The sequence below is a fragment of the Homo sapiens genome, chromosome 18, assembly GCF_000001405.40.
Source record: "Homo sapiens chromosome 18, GRCh38.p14 Primary Assembly".
Classification (NCBI taxonomy): Eukaryota; Metazoa; Chordata; class Mammalia; order Primates; family Hominidae; genus Homo; species Homo sapiens.
This window is the reverse complement of record NC_000018.10, coordinates 23,202,487-23,220,111: the sequence shown is the minus strand read 5'-3', so window position 1 is coordinate 23,220,111 and position 17,625 is coordinate 23,202,487. Positions and strand designations below refer to the sequence as shown.

The following is a 17,625-nucleotide window of genomic DNA, read 5'->3' as shown; positions in this document are numbered from 1 at the left end:
CAGCAGCTCTAGAGATCACTGTGAGGCCGATCCCTTATCAGCTTGGTCTAAACCTGGTGGCATGCAAAACGACCCCAAACATTTTCCAGTGTTCCCAAGCCCAGGGTGATGAAGCCCCTAGCCTCGCGGCCCACACCAAGAAAAAATGTGCCCAATACAGTGGCAAGAAGCCACCAGATCTGCCCATTTTTAAAAAATCTCAATTTTAAGAAACTCAATGAATATTAATATTCAGGTAGGTGCTCGAGAAGTTGCTGATTATTGACAGATGGGGAGTGTGGACAGTGTGTTTCATTCATAAATTCCTTGTTCAACACAACTTACTGCTTCTGCATCAGCAGCACTGACAAGAATGAGAACAACCTTTTGCACTCACAGGGTCCTTGTAGTATCTGGTTAAACATCCCCATTTTATAGATGAGGGGTCTGAGACTCAGGAGGGCTAAGTGATGGGCCCATATGTCAGAGCTCACTCCTGTCCCCAGCCCTCTCCCCTGCCCCTCACTACAGTGGTCTGGATGCTGAGTGTGGCTGGGAAATGGGACTCCAGCTTGAATAAGGCATCACTAAATCTCTCAACAGGGCAGGCCCTGCCTGAGAGTTCACGAGGAGCTGGATCATCCGCTGGCATCCTCAGAAGTCAACGCTGAGGATGCAATATCCTTTCTCATGTCTCTAAGGTCTCACACTTCCAAGTCTAACTGAAGAATCGCCTTCGCTGGGCACTACATCGGATCCTGCCATCTGAATTCACCCAACTCCTTCCTCTGCTCTAATCAGACATTGCTTAGGACTCAATGTTTTTGCTATTTTGTTTGATGATTGGTTTACTAGCTTATTCCCGTCTCCTACTCAGACAGAGGACCAGAGGGATGGCACGGAGAGTAGGCTCCACACACAGAGAGACATTTTCTCTTTCACCAGTGTACCCAAGGCAGGATGGCAGTGCCCAGCACACAGTAGGTGCTCACCAGGCTGCAGGTGAGTGAATTCTGCTGTACAATGGTAGCCCCTAAACCTCCACATAGGTGGCATGCTGGTATGGCAAGGCACTTGCGGGGGGGTGGGGATAAAGAAATTTTACATAGCAAACACCCTGCTTTTACTTAACACTGTACATTTACTATAATTGTGGGTGTTGGTCAGGATTTGTGGGCAGCTCCAGTGTTCTCCAGTGCCTCCCTGCCCACCCTCCATTGTCTTGGGATTGGTAACTCATTCCTCCCCACCCCTTCCCCAGCCTCCATCAGGGCCTTAATTCGCTGGGAGCAGAACAAGTGACCTAATGCATAAAAGAATGAATGAATAGGTAGTATTATAGAAAGCCCTCCTAAGGTTGGTCTGTCTGCTTTGATCAACTAATGTCAGAATCCACAATCAGTGTTCAAGTTAAAGCCAAGAACAAAATGTGGAGGCCATGGTGGGAGGCAGGGCAAGTGAGGATGCGGGAGCCAGGGCAAGTGAGGATGCGGGAGGCAGGGCAAGTGAGGATGCGGGAGCCAGGGCAAGTGAGGATGCGGGAGGCAGGGCAAGTGAGGATGCGGGAGGCAGGGCAAGTGAGGATGCGGGAGCCAGGGCAAGTGAGGATGCGGGAGGCAGGGCAAGTGAGGATGCGGGAGGCAGGGCAAGTGAGGATGCGGGAGGCAGGGCAAGTGAGGATGCGGGAGGCAGGGCAAGTGAGGATGCGGGAGGCAGGGCAAGTGAGGATGCGGGAACCAGGGCAAGTGAGGATGCGGGAGCCAGGGCAAGTGAGGATGCGGGAGGCAGGGCAAGTGAGGATGCGGGAGGCAGGGCAAGTGAGGATGCGGGAGGCAGGGCAAGTGAGGATGCGGGAGGCAGGGCAAGTGAGGATGTGGGAGGCAGGGCTGGGAAGCTTGAGTGCAGCACAAGTGGCCAGAAAACAAACCCAGAAAGTTCAGGCCACCCCGACAGATGCTTTCCATGGGAAGGAGGCTCAAGTACCCAGCAGACGAACTACGAGATTCCTGTTTTTAGAACTTTCTTGTGATGAAGTTGGAGCTGCACATTAGCCCCTTAATCGGTGGGGTGGCGGGGGTGTTGTGCTTGTTTGGAATAATCAGGCCCATGTGGCTGGGTCCATGTGCATGAGTACAATGGAAACATGGAGGCCAGAAAGCATGGCCCGGCAGGCTGGGGCAGCCCGGGTCCCAAATTCCGGTGTTGCTGACTCTGCCAGGTGTGGGGCTGTGGGTGAGCTTCGCCCCACTGTGCCTCAGCTGCGAAGCAGGAAGGCCTTTCCACCCCTGAAATTCTATGACTTACGTCCCAGTCACAAAAAGAACTTCAGCGTAAAAGTAAAGGAATTTTCCACTGTGGAAAGGCATTAGTTAATATGTACATGAACTGAAGTTGTTTAAAATATGTGTGTGTATATATTTATTCGTATATTTACTAGTAAACTTTTACTAGCATATACTTACTAGTACATTTTAATTTGAGCATAGTTGTTTCCCAATTAGTAAAAAAAAATTTAAAAATCATAATTATGGTTAAGTGGGTTGTTTATAAATACAATGTCTGCTCATTGAAAAGTTTAAAAAGCATTCTGCTTCTTAATCCTGCTGCTACATCACAATATTTGGAATTGTGCTCAGTGTTTCTTGGGTGAGTACAGAGGTAGACTGTGCTGCAGAAACGAACATGTTCTTTTCTGTTAGGTCTGACAAAGGACCTGAAGATTTTTTTGTTATAGAAAAAAATCCTCTTCTAGCTGGGTACAGTGGCTTACACCTGTAATCCCAACACTTTAGGAGGCCGAGGCAGGAGGATCACTTGAGTCCAGGAGTTTGAGACCAGTCTGGGCAACATGGCGAGATCTCATCTCTACTAAAAATTTTAAAAATTAGCTGGGTGTGGTGGCGCGCGACTGTAGTCCTAGCTACTTGGGAGACTGAGGCAGGTGGATGGCTCGAGCGTAGGAGTTCGAGACTGCAGCGAGCCATGTTTGTGCCACTGCATTCCAGCCTGGGCAACAAAGCAAAATCCTGTCTCAAAAACAAACAAAAACAAAAAACAAAACAAAAAAATCCCTCTTGTGCACCTTGGTTTCCTCATCTATAAAATCTGGAGGAATAGTGGATTTGAATCTGTTCACACCTAGGATGTAAAAGGTGGGATCCCACACACTCATTTTGCTTCTCTGTCCAGGGCCAACACAGCAGCCAAATCTGCTGAATATCCTATGCAGTGGCCCTTTCTGCAACACAGGAGGCCTTCCCAAGCAGCAAGAAGGAGACCCAGGCATGAACAGACACTGTTTCCTAGCACCAACTGGCTGCCACCTAGCATTTCCCTGAGATGTTGAAGAGTGGAGGGCCACGCATATCCACAAGGATGTCCAGTGGAGATGGTCTGAGTGCCCTCTTCCTGGGTAATTTAAGTTAAAACAGCTTCCTAATGGCTTTGCAGAAATGTCGTTATCTTCAAGTTAATGGTGTGAGGTAGAAACTTCCCCATTCTACAGAGGAGCCAATGGAAGCTCACAGAAGCTAATAAGTAATAAAAATTCTAAATCTCCCAAGTTCTTCACAATGATTCTTTTTTACTGTCAGAAATATGGGGTCCTTGCTGAGTGGGCCCTAGCACTTCTCTGCATGCCACGTGCCATGCTGGAAACCTTGGATCCACTCACTCCTGGGAGCTACAGTTAACCTCTGGGAGGCAGATACCAGAAAAGCTCCATTTCGCAGCAAGGTTTCTGCAGATACAGAACTTATCTTGCCTGTCTGCCAGTGTGGGTCATGGAAAAACTTACGGCTGAACAGACTGGGGATTAAACCCCCATTCTGGCCCAAAGTTGATGTTTGAGATTTCAACTCTTAAGGATGGATCAGTGATGTCATCTACAAAATGGGGATGAGCACTTGGGTACCACAGTGAGGGCTACCCTACCCCAGACCTTGGGGAATAAAACGAATATGGACACTTCAAAGACAAGTGTGGAGAAGCCAAATTAAAGAAACAGAATGAGTCTTCAGCCAGGAAGATTCAAGGATTGCTTGACTGGGTATCTCCAGCATGTATTAAAAGTTGTAGTTGGCCGGGCGTGGTGGCTCACGCCTGTAATCCCAGCACTTTGGGAGGCCGAGGCGGGCAGATCACGAGGTCAGGAGATCAAGACCATCCTGGCTAACATGGTGAAACCCCGTCTCTACTAAAAATACAAAAAATTTAGCCTGGCATGGTGGCAGGCGCCTGCAGTCCCAGCTACTCAGGAGGCAGAGACAGGAGAATGGCGTGAACCCGGGAGGCGGAGCTTGCAGTGAGCCGAGATCGCACCACTGCACTCCAGCCTGAGTGACAGAGCAAGACTCTGTCTCAAAAAAAAAAAGAAAAAAAGAAAAAAAAAGTTGTAGTTAATTGTGTGTGTAATTTTAATGTGTCTCCCCTGCTAAGCTGTTCAGGGGCACACGAACCCAATCCATCCTTCTCTGCCTTTGTCCCGGGCACCTGGTCACATGACAAGCACTCAATAAATGAATGAATGAGATGGAGCTAAGGAAAGAATGTGTCAATCAGAGAGGTCAGCCAGGGAAACCCAGAGAAACGAGGCTGATGTCACAGTACCATCCAAGCTCTGGCCAAGAGAGGACCTGCTGGCAAAGAGCCTGCTACTGATAATACAGACACCCTGGAGGTGTATGCCCAGGCTGGTCACACTCAAACATTCTGGGCCCTTCGGCTACTACTTGTAATAAGATGAATTAACTGGCCTCTGGGGTCACACCAGGTCTATGAGCTGGTATGAGCTAATTTTGTCAAGGAATGAGCCTGCTCTTCCAATGTAGCCAGACCCGGGGCCACAGCAGGTAGGTCAGTCAAAGAGAGCTGCCCGAAAACATCTCTCTGGGCAGCCCACTGGCCACTAGATGGTCCTTAAACCTCCGAGCTGCAGGATTTGCTGCTACTTTTTCTAGAACACCTACTTTGCAAGGTTTGGCTGTAAGGATGTAAATAATGAAAAAGACGAGCTCAAAGTGTGTGCCTAACAAACAGTGCCATGATTATCGCTCCTTAAGGCACACATCTCATCAATGACTGAGTCAGGATTCCATGAATATAGATGTGTTTTCTGTCCCATGGAGCTGACAATGAAGAGTGCAGCTAAGGACCTTGGTGAATCGAATAGGCCGTAAGTCTAGCACATCTACAGGGGAAAGGGGAGGTCATGGTGAGCAGGAAGGCCTGGGGTAGAGCTCACGGAGATGGTGGAAGATGAACACATGGCGAATCAGCACCAGTGGCCATACGGCCCTCCTTGGGACAGTGGTCACATGTCTGTGGTGTGGCTGGCACAATGACCAGACGCCACAGCCAACATCCCATGATGCTTGACTTCTTACGCAGTGAACTGTCCTGACTTCGATACCGGTGGCAGCCTGATGACAGACACCGGATGCATGAAAAGGCAAAAGGAGCACAAGGAGGAAGGAACACGGTGTTCAGGGATGGCGATGAAGAGCGGAGGCTTTGCAAGGACGGACCCTCAGGTACTTACTTTTTTTCAGAGTGAAAGGAGGGGCTTGTTGATCTAGAGAGGGAAGCATTCCTCTGGCCTGTAGCTAGTTACCTAATCTCTGGTCCTGGAACCCTTTTGCTTTGATGTTTCTCTGTGGTGGCAGCTCCAGCTTGCTGGTCAGTTTCCAAACCCAAGCCCAAGATGCAAGGAGGTGGAATGGTCACAGGGTTTGTTCTGATTTCTTCCTTGACCTACCTTTTTTCCAAAGGTTGGCATGGCCCTGTGGAATATGGTGGGCCCCATAATGTTCTTGCTAAAGCAAGTATTGGATAAGGTAACAAAATGTAGATTTAGAAAGAACAGGCAATAGGATGGGACACACACGCACACACACAACGAGGAAGCTTTCTGGCTGAAAAGAAAGTGGAACATCTTTTTATCATTCCAGTGTACAAATACTGAATTTGCAGTATCAAAGCAAGGCAACTTCTTGAAAATGGAAAGGATGGCCACATTATGTACATTGGTGTGAGATCTTTTCACCCAGAGAACTACAAAGCATGCATGCATATACATACCCGACTTGGGTACTGTCGCGATACGGCAGCACTGAAAATATACTACAGAAGGATCTTCTGCCACTGATAAGGACTATTCTAAAAAATAAAAAGAAGAACAAACAACAAACACACTAAATGCAAAGAATCAAACTAAAAAACAAAATCTATAGCAATTAAGCATTCATGGCATTCATAGCAGTATTTGCACGCTCCCACCACCTCCTCTGGCAGATGGTATTCTGCTCTCCTTGCAAAATGCAACCCCAGCGTGGCAGAAGTGGGCTGCCTCTCCTCATCCCAATATTAACATGTGAGACACCAGCAAGGGTCACTAATGAGTACACCTGCACCCCTTCTCCTGCAAGACCTGCTTGCTGTGGGCTGCACATGCAAGAGGGAGCAGACAGATCTGAGTCCAGGGTGGCCAGGGCTGGGTGAGCAGTCATGCCACATTTAAACCATTGATTTCTATTTTGCAGTAAACAATGTGAGAGCAATAGCACCAGAAACTATGAGCAGGAAAGACACTCAGAGGCCATTATGATCATTAGGTTTTTCATCTGCTGGCAACATGTTAGGTTCTGAGAATAGATTAAGGGAACAATTACATAATCAGTCTTAGCCTCCATTCCTGCTATAAAGATACTACTGGAAACAGCTCTACATGATGGTCTTATGCAATCAAAAGCCACTTAAAAAAAAACATTAAAACAAAAACAAAAACCCTCAAAAGCACTTATCCTGGCATCTGAGAATAACTTTTGCCAAAGGGAACTGCTGATGAAAAACTGGAGAAATGAGTGGAAGAGATTTAAAAACAACATTCTTTGTAGCACAAAGTCAATATCACATCATATGGGGAAGCTTATTTACTTTTGTCATCCTTTCTTTCGACAACCATAAGACCAGGGAAAATGGTTCTACTACTACATGCATCAGGGTTTGGAGATTTCAACTTTGTTGTAACACTATGAAATTAAATCGTCCTGGGATGTAGTCCGGTTCCCTGGCACGGCAAACCAGGCCCTGTGTCTCCTGCTTTCTGTCTCTCCAGTTTCAACACCCACAGAATTTCCCTGATTTTACCGTTCTACCCGTGCTGAAGTACTTACAGCACCCCCACCTTAACAAAAAATCCTATCCTGCTGTTTTATACTTGTGTTCTTTGCATGCTATTTCTTCTGCCTATATGCCCCACCTTGAAACACCCAATGAACTCCTATTTATTCTTCCAAACGTAGCTCAGAAGTACCCCCTCCACGGAGTGTTTCCTGCCCCTCTTCATGGAGTTTTTTGTTCCCTTTTTGGTGCTGTCTCCAATTCCCCATTCAGACGTCCAGGAGGGCACGGATGTGATCCACACTGCTGATCATTTGCCTCCCTCCTTTACTAGAGGGTGAGTCCGGGCAGGGGTTTAGTGCGTGGTGGCCCCTCCATCTATGCATGGGTATTAGATGTCACTGAAATGCAGTGTGGGCCTCAGAGCAGCAACACTTGAATATCCGTCATGGGAGGGCAGGGCTGCAGGCATCCTATGCAATCAAAAGCCACTTTCGGCTTTTGGCACTTTTGGTGTCAATTCCATAGCAGTTCATATCCCCAGTGGTTAATGGGATGGGACCAAAGTAACACACTCAGCTTCGAACACCAGCTGTCACTTTTGTTTGACCTCGGTCAGCTTACTAACACTTCTGAGCCTCATTCTGCCCTTCTAAAAAATGGGATAAAATTAGTAACTATCTTATTGGAATGCTGTAAGAGTACATGAGCCCATACTTGGAGAACCCTCAGAAGAGCAGCTGGCAAATAGTACACACTCAATAAATATGAACCATCTTTACTGCAGACCAGCTGCCTGGGTTAGGATTCAGGTTTTCCAGCCTAGTCCATGGACTCAGAACCTCTTCAGACCTCTGTGCTAAATACCCAGGCCTGCTCAGACCTGAAAGGCAGTGCTGCCAGGACAGCTGAAAGACCCCATGCATGGCTGTCTACATCGGAGTAGCATGAGATGTACACAGAGATGCTACTGAAGGGAGATGCTGCTCATCAGATACCACGGGCCCGGACGCTGGTCACTGTCAAGGACAGAGCATCATGTCCAGAGTGGACTGTCAAGGCCTGAAGGGCCAGGGGTTACATGAATCATGAGCACACCCTGCTGAACACCAGCCAGGCTCCTTGGGCTTGCCTGCATGGAGCCCAGCAACAGAGCTTCTCATGCTGCAGTGCCCCTGTAAATTTACCTACAGAGACGTAACAGCCAATACTTATTAAGTATCGATTACGTGCCAAATTCTAAATGCTTTAACTGATGAGGCACGTCGAGTTGGTGATGTGCCAAAGGAGATGCACCAGCAGGTGGGGCAGGGTGGAGATTGGAACTTGAGCTCTTTACCACTACGAATGCTCTTCCCTAAACCTTACTAGAAAAGCCTGCCCCTTGGGGGCGTGACTGGGTACCCACGGACTTTTTGGGTACTAATAAGTCTGCCTTCATCCAGATGTTCTAGGCCGGCTTTCCAGCCTGGCCTGTGGGTCACCATGCCCAGTGCAGGGAGGGGCAAGAGGGTGACAGATCACACACCCCTGACCTTGGAGCTGCTGGAGCCAGGGGAGCCCTGCTCAGCCTGGACCCCTTCCCAGATGGAGGGGCAGAGGCTCTCCACACCCTCACTGCCACTCCCTGCCATTTACCCAGGACAAAGGCCAGGAGCAACTCATTCATGTGTCACTGGGCATCGATGTCCTCTGCAACACAGTGGCAGGAATGTGTTGAACAAACTCCACTGGCTTAGCGATGCTGCATTTTCCTCACTACTCATGCTAAGGTGTCCTTCCTTCCCACACACTAAGTTTGTTTGGACGTATTTAATAGAACAAGAAAATGAGAGAATATAAATGCAAGTGCAATCCAAGTCTTCTTTCCCATCTTTCAACCACAAGGTGCCTATCAGTAAATGGGCTGCTTGTTCTATTAAGTGAGCGCTCACTCTGGGTGGTCCGCACCACTATATCTAGGAGAGGCTGACAACATGCTGCTCGTTCCAGAAAAACATGTTATTTTACCGCATAGGTCAAGTTTAGCAACTATGAATATGGACTGTTTCAACAATTCCAGTAGGGTTGCTACTTCCCTGGTTGGCCAGTCTCAAGCGGCTGGAGGGAGGAGGGAGTATCACACCTCCTTCCCCTCCCTTCTCCAATCATTTCATAGACCCTCAGTTTCTGCAGGGGCCAGAGGAGGAACTCACAGCAGAGACCCGCACAGAGGCTCTGCAGACGGTTTGCCAATGGAGCTTCCAAGAACACATCATACGTGTTTCCTGAAGTAGTTCTGGCATCTGGGAGGGACTGCAGGCGTGAACCACAGCAGGCAAGTAGCAGCAAGTGATGGCTCCCGTCTTCTTGGCTTCTTACACTGGGAAACCTTGAACAGTATGGTTCTGATAACAGGTCCCATGTGATCAACCGTTATGTTTAGAACCTGTGGGGTTCATGTGAATTTGCAGCTTTTCTCTTTATAAACATTAGGGAAATGTCCATGGTAATGGAGATACACAAGAAGAGAATCAGATGTTTGCCTCCTGGAAGGTACCTCTATTATTTGAGAAATAATTCAATCAGATGACATAAACAACAAGCACAGTCCACTTCCAATGTCAGACATTGACCACCCTCATGTCTTTGCCTCCAACCACGGCGGTTCTCTTCTCTTACACTCAAATGGCATGCAAAAAGCCCAAATCATTTCCCCCACCTGTGACATACAACACTTTACTTGGAGTTGAGATGACCAGAAAATATTACGTGAAAGATTATGACTTCAGAAGAGGAATTAATTCCAGGGAGATGGATCTTTAAGGAATTAAAGGTCACATTTCCACATGAACATCGGCCAGAGGAAAAAAAATAGCAAAGGAAAACATTCCCTGGGGCTATAGCCCACATGGACAAAGCATCTTGGGTACACAATGCTTCCTGAAACTTCCAGGGATCCTCATGAGTGCTCGGAAGCTAACGGAGCACCGTCCAGCTTTCTTTTTCACACAGCCTCATTGTCATGCTCTTAGGAAAGTGCTTCTGGTATGAGGGATCTTGCAGCTTCAGACCACAAAGCTTCCACAGCCACAATTAGCTCACAAGATGCTGAGTGTCCAGAACAGCCAGGAGATGCACAAGGACCGCCCCCCCGCAAGGTGACAGAGCACCACGGGCCACTTTTCACCAAATCTGTTTTTACCCCCTCAGCCCAGCACTGGCAATGTCTCTCACCAGCCACGGTCCTCAAGTATTTCCTCTTTTGCCAAAAAACCGGAGCCTTGTTCTATTTCCAGCCACCTGGGGAGTCTCTGTTGGTTGTGAGAAGGTCTCATCTCTTACAGGTGAAATGTTCCATTACAACAGAAATATTCTCTTAAGGACATGAAAACAAGCAACCAAGTCCAAGAGGCAGAGGAAAGAAAATCACATCTGCAGTAACGGCGGGGTGAATACAGTGAAGCCCAAACACAGCCCAGGGGTGTCCACAGCCCAGGGGTCTGTATTAGGCACTAGGCACACATGCAAAAATTCTGTGGTTCATTCCCTCCATGCCCAGGAAGCAAGAAAGAATACGCCTACAAAGCTGATGTTGTGGGTTCAACTGTGCTCCCCAAATGACATGTTGGAACCCTAAGCCCCAGTACCTGTGGTTGTGGCCTTATTTGTAAGTACAGGTGTCCCCCCTTATCCACAAGGGATGTGTTCCAAAACCCCCAGGGGATGTCTGAAACCACGGATAGCACTGACGCCTGTATGTACTATGTTTTTTCCTTTGCAGTCATTTCATATAGGGCAGGTAGCGAGACCATGTAGATATGCTGGACCAAGGGCTGACTCATGTCCCAGATCAAACAGAGTGGGAGGGTGAGAGATTTCACCATGCTACTCAGAATGGCATGCAATTGAGCACTTATGAATTGTTTGTGGAATTTTCCATCTAATATTTTCAGACCATGTGGTTGACTGTGGATAAGGAGGGACTGCTGTAGTGTCTTTGCAGATGTTATCAAGTAAGGATGAGGTCCTACTGGGTCAGAGTGGGCCTTCAATCCAATGGCTGGTGTCCTTACAAGGGGCAAGAAATTTGGAGATACCTACACATGCACGAAGGGAAGAAGGCCATTAACAGTGGAGACAGAGATGGAAGTGATGCAGCTACAAGCCAAGGACACCAGGGCTCACCAGCACCACTGGAAGCTGGAAGAGTTGAGAGCTGATTCTTCCCCTGGGGCTCAGAGGGAACATGGCCCCCGCGCTTCCAGTCTCCACAACAGGGAGAGAACTCCTTGTTGTTGTCTTAATCACCCAGTTTTGTGGCACCTTGTAGGGAAGCCCTGGAAAGGGACACAGCTCTCCCTGGCATGGCTCTGGGCCATGCACCCCAGCTCAGCAGGTCCTCTGCACACCACACTATGAGTGCTGTGCACAGAGACGGTGAAGGCATGAAGGCCAATGTCCGGAGACAAATGAATATTATGAAATTTGGAAAACTCATTCTCTTCCCAGCTCCACTCTGACCCCTTTTCCCACAGCCGTTCCTTCCTCCTCTCACAATGCTTTATTAAAAGCTGGAAGAAGGGGACTTGACCCCTTTCCGTCTCTTCTGAAGAGCTGGCAATGGCATAATGAGAGCTGAACGAAAACACCACCACCACCAACAAAATGTTCTTGTTTACTCTATTTAAATGCTCATGAGCTATTGGGGGGACGCTTTTCCTCCTTAGGAACAACTCCCCTCACTGTTGGATGTGCCTCATCTGAGTACAAGGGCAAAGTGGAGAATTGGTAGGGGCTCCAAGAACATTCTTCACAGAGCGATCTGTTCCTTTCTGCCTGGAGTTGGAAGGAGATGCTAATCCAGGGCCGGAGCTGGGAAGAGAAGGGGTCCCGTGGACAAGAAGGCACTAGAACAAGGAGCCTGAAAGTGCTGGGGCTGGCCTAGGAGGAGGAGGCATGGGATTGTAACAGGTGGGAACAGGAGGAAGGGAAGCACGGCTTAACCCTGTAAAGTGTGGAGCTGCACAGGGCATCTGGAGCCAGGGAACTGGGGGGCATGAGTTAAATGGTCTGATGCATCTGAGAATCTGTGCTAAGTAGCCCACAAATACCACATGGTGGTACTGTTACTGGTGGAGGCATTAGTCTTCTCTTCATGACTATGACTGCCACCTCCACCACCACACTTCCATGACCACTAAGATCACTGCTACCACAGGACATACTGCAGGCAGGCCTCCCCACCTGCTAAGGAGGCACACCTTATCCTACAACCTAGGGAGTGGCAAATTTCTGATAAACAAGTTACATAATCTTCCTCTCCTCCCTCCCTCCCTCACACAAATATTTTCTGAGCACTTAATCCATGCCAGACATTGTACTAGGTGCTGGGGATCTGATGATGAATGGCCCAGCTAAGAGCTCCCTCCTTGCAAAGCTTAGGGGTGGTTGGGAGATACCTCCATGCAGAGGTGTAAGTTCTCTGATGGGAACTAGGGGGCGCTACTGAACACACAGGAAGAATAACCCAGCCTAAAGGAGGCAAGGTGGGCTTCCTGGAGCAAGTGATAACTGAGACCTCAGGGATAAGTGGCAACCAGTCTACAGTGAGAAGATATGCTGGCGGGAAAACTGGCATGAGTCAAGGTTGGGACAAAGAGCATTCAGCCTATTCAAGGAACTGAGTGAATAATAAATGTTCACGGACCTCCACGTGCCTGACTCACCAGCGTTTCCACTCCCCTCTGTACAACGCTTTGACCAACACCCCTGACTCACGCAAAACTCGGGCTGGCAGGCTGTTCGCCACCAACCCCCACTGAGCTGTGCACTTACTAAGGGTCCCTTATATATGACCTAATCCTGTTTATGTCAGTTGTATTATCATTTATATTTGTACTTGTTTATTAAAGACTGTGCACTGCTGGGCACCGTGGCTCACATCTGTAATCCCAGAACTTTGGGAAGCCAAGGTGGGAGATGACATGAACTCAAGAGTTTGAGACCAGCCTGGGCAACATAATGAGACCTTGTCTCTACTAAGAAGAAAAAAAATCAGCTGGGTGTGGTAGCACACGCCTGTAGTCCCAGCTACTCAAGAGGCTGAGGTGGAAGGATTGCTTGAGCCCAGGAGTTCAAGGCTGCAGTGGGCTATGATTGTGCCACTGTATTCCTGGGTGACAGAGCAAGACCCCGTCGCAAAAAAAAAAAAAAAGGTGCACAAACTAAAGAATGTGAAAATGAACAGAAATGCTGTTTAAATTTTTTGTTTAATACTGGATGCTTTAAAAAATATTCACACAAGGCAAGTCATTGAAAAAAATTGCAGTTGAAATAGGAATGACCAAGACTGTAAAAGATTAGGAAAAAATTGTAAAAATCCAAACAGATTTTGCACTTAGATTCTTGGGCCACTTTTGAGAAGTCCAACGTGGACATCCCAGCAATGGGTGGGAACAATGAGGACATAAGGAAGTCGATGCCACAGACAGACTCTGATCTGTGGACCCCCACACAAAGGAAAGGCATGGCATGAAAAGCTGCAGAATGGACCATCACTCATGGGCCTTAAATGCCAGCACAACATCTAAGCTGTGTAGGAGATTTCTGTGGGTATTTCCTTTGGCATTTACTAACCTTTTCCCCAACCAAGCGATTACTGTGAATAATTCAGCGTAGCTGAGGGTGGCATGGGGGAGAAGCATGAGTCCAAATGTGAGGCTGGCTGGAGAAAGGCCTCCTGAGCCCTGTGGGGAAGTCGGGGTTTGGGAGTCCCCAGCTTAAGGTGGGGATTGCAGCCATGGTGTGGAGGAGCACTCACAGGAGTGGAGTGGGATGAGGAGCGAGGAGGGTCTGGGACGGGGCGGGAGGACGGTGGGCAGGGAGGAAGGCAGGCAGGCGCTGTCAGATGGGCAGAAAAGCTCACGAAGTCAGAGCACCACAAACTGGGTGGCTTAAACCACAGAAATGTATTGTCTTACAGTTCTGGGGGCCAGAAGTCCAAAATCAAGGTGTCAGCAGGCCCATGCTCCATTTGAAGGCACTGGGGAGGGGTCTGCTCCAGGCCTGTCTCCTGGCTACTGGTGGCTCCATGGCTTGTGACAGCATCACTCCAATCTTCACACAGCATTCTCCCCGTGTGCCTCTGAGCCCCAGTTTTCCCTTACTTCAAGAGACTGGGGCTTTTGCTCCATCACCTAGACTAGAGGGCAGTGGCATGATCTTAGCTCACTGCTGCCTTGAACTCCTGTGCTCAAGTGATCCTCCTGCCTCGGCCATCCAGAATTGCTGGGACTATAGATGTGAGCCACGACACCTGGCTTCAATTTCCTCTTTCTATAAGGATATCGGTCGTATTGGATTAGGGCCCGTCCTACTCCAGTATAACCTCATCTTAGTGAATTACATCTGCCACAACTCTGTTTCCAAATAAACTCACATTCTGAGGTACAGGGAGTTAGGACCTCAACACAGGAATTTTGGGGGCTAAGGTAAGGAGAAAACAAGAAGAGTTTGGTGTCACAGAAGTGAGAATGTCCGGCCAGGTATGGTGGCTCAAGCCTGTGATCCTAGCACTTTGGGAGGCCGAGGTGGGCAGATCACCTGAGGTGAGCAGTTCAAGACCAGCCTGGCCAACATGGTGAAACTCTGTCTCTACTAAAAATACAAAAATTAGCTGGGCGTGGTGGCAGACACCTATAATCCCAGCTATCCGGGAAGCTGAGGCAGGAGAATCACTTGAACCCAGGAGATGGAGGCTGCAGTTGCAGTGAGCCAAGATCACACCACTGCACTCCAGCTTGGGTGACAGAGGGAGATGCCGTCTCAAAAAAAAAAAAAAAAAAAAAAAAGTCAGGAATGAAGTCCTTTTGGAATTCCCTCCCCTCCTGCTCAGCCAGAACAGCCCTGGTAGCTGCATCCTGAAGTGTGGTCCAGCCCTGAGTCATCTGCTAGCTATAATTACTGTTTTCTTCTCAATGTGTTGCAGACCAATGGTGCAGACCAAGGACTGATGTCTCCTCTGGGCTCCCAGGCTAAGCAGAAGATTAAAACAGAACTGCCGATAGGGTTTGGCTGTGTCCCCACCCAAATCTCATCTTGAATTGTAGCTCCCATAATTCCCACATGTTGTGGGAGGGACCCGATGGGAGATAACTGAATCATGGGGACAGTTTCGCAAATACTGTTCTCATGGTAGTGAATAAGTCTCAGGAGATCTGTTGGTTTTATATGGGGAAACCCCTGTTGCTTGGCTTTCATTCTCTCTTGCCTGCTGCCATGTAAGATGTGCTTTTTGCCTTCCGCCATGATTGTGAGGCCTCCCCAGCCGTATGGAACCGTGAATCCATTAAGCCTCTTTTTCTTTTTTTACTCAGTCTCAGGTATGTCTTAATCAGCAGTGTGAGAACAGACGAATCAGCAGCGTGAGAAGAGACGAATTGCTCAGTCTCATGTAGGTCTTTATCAGCAGCATAAGAACAGATGAATACAACCGCCAAGGGAAGGTTCTGTCCAATCTGAAACAATTTCCAACTCTTTTACCTTTCCTCTGTGACTGCTTTTATTTCTTCAAATCAAACTGGTGGAAAAGCAGCAACAAGCACCCACAGGCTGTGAGCTTTTCAGTCGCAAACCCGTACACAAGCGCGAGGTACTGAGCACAGCTGCTATTGATTCTGTTGATTGAAAATCATTTATCTCAAAAGCCTCATGCAACACTACAGAAGCAGCCAGCCTCACCTCCATGCTATTTAAAGAGGCATGAATAATAAAACCAGGTGCGTGTGGTGCTGACCCAGCACACCGCCGGGAACTGGACACCAGTATTCTCAGTGCCGAGTGACTGCCCTGCATGCCAGCTTCTCTCCCCGCTTCCGCCACTTAGTGCCAGGTGAATAAAGCCAAGGAAATGCGATGGTGAGACTTGTGAGCAGCTCTGGGGACCATCTCAGTGAAGGAAGAGCCTGGAACCGGAGCCCCAGTGAGGTCTGGGGAGTCCTGGAGGCGTCTTCAGGCTGTCCACTCCCTGTCCTCCTAGACTGGGGTTTTGTTAAGAACTGATCATAAACACCGATGATGACAAGGATAAAGATGCTTCCTGCCGCCTTCTGCCACTGAGGGGATGGCAGGTGCTAGCCTTTTCACAAAAACAAAATCTCCGAGAGGAAAAAAAGCCAGCTCAGGAAAGGGTCCGTGTTGCAAGGTGCCCCACAGAAGATGCTTGACTTCTATCAAACTGGACGGGTTCATTTTAGGGAGAAAAAGCAATGACATTTTTCTTCTTTCAAAAAGGCCAGTCCGGGGCTGGTAACGAGCCGTTTTATTTTTTGAAACATGCCACTTCCTCCAAGTCGTTTTTCAAACTAAATTAGGCCGACAGCTTGGAACTGATGAGATCACAAACAAGGTCTTAATTTAGTTATGACCCATCCCCTTTTTCCCTCCAAAATGTTTTGGTGCAACAAGGAAAGGCTCCAGCTTGACTTCAGTCACTGTACTTTTACCATCTTCCTTTAAAATGCAGATAAAGGGTGCTGAAGTCTTTTAACGTGTTTCTTTCTTTTTTTTTTTTTTAACATATCCTATTGGTTCATACTTTAAAGAGAAAACACTCTGGCTCAGTTCTTTATCCACTTCCATCTCAAATCCTTTTACATCTCTTTGAAAATTCCTCCCAAGGGAGGAGATAGCTCAGTCGACTTACTGCTGAGGACATTTCTCTACCTGTTCACAATGAAATGATTCTTGAAGCAGACCCAGGAGGCGGCACTTCCAGGGCACATGAAGCCATCTCCTGCATGCCATGCCAACATTCAACACCCAGATGACTTCAAAAGGACACCCAGTAAAGCCCATGCAGGCACGTGACAGAGGGAGGAGACACCCACATGAAACGAGGGCTCTGTCGCTCTTCAAGACAGAGGTTCATGAGTCTCAAGAACTGGGAGCACCAAGACGAAAGGTCCTTTCTTAACAGGACCGTGAGGGTCACTAGACATAAATGTCACAAAAGCCACTGAGTGTCTCCAGTCTTTTTTTTTTTTTTTTGATGGAGTCTTGCTCTGTCTCCCAGGCTGGAGTGCAGAGGTGCGATCTCGGCTCACTGCAAGCTCCGCCTCCCGGGTTCACGCCATTCTCCTGCCTCAGCCTCCCGAGTAACTGGGACTACAGGCACCCGCCACCATGCCCGGCTAATTTTTTTGTATTTTTAGTAGAGATGGGGTTTCACTGTGTTAGCCAGGATGGTCTCGATCTCCTGACCTCATGATCTGCCTGCCTCAGTCTCCCAAAGTGCTGGGATTACAGGCGTGAGCCACCACGCCCTGGCCGAGTGTCTCCAGTCTTTATACTCAGAATCTCTGCTGTCCTTCTGATGCGTCAGTCCTTCCTGGCCAGCAATGAGCGAGGCTGTGTAAATGTCTGTCTTCTTCAAGGGTGTATCTAATGGCTGGGAACTGAGATTTATCTTCACTTCTGTTTAGCCTCCACTGTGGCACACAAGTAGGGTTCTCAGTGAAGATGCAGGTTAGAGCCCATGGTGACTGG

General features: G+C 48.3%; 1 protein-coding gene across 4 annotated transcripts in view; it reads right to left on the bottom strand.

Annotated features, from left to right (window-relative positions):
- Positions 1–17,625, bottom strand: part of CABLES1 (Cdk5 and Abl enzyme substrate 1) — a 125,907-nt gene that overhangs the window by 40,359 nt on the left and 67,923 nt on the right. For all 4 annotated transcript variants that reach the window (NR_023359.2, NM_001256438.1, NM_001100619.3 and 1 more), the window contains exon 4: positions 6,058–6,135. Coding sequence is in view for 3 of the 4 variants with exons in the window: in NM_001256438.1 (NP_001243367.1) it covers positions 6,058–6,135 (78 nt within the window). In the remaining variant the exon portion in view is untranslated. The remainder of the gene's footprint in view (positions 1–6,057; positions 6,136–17,625) is intronic.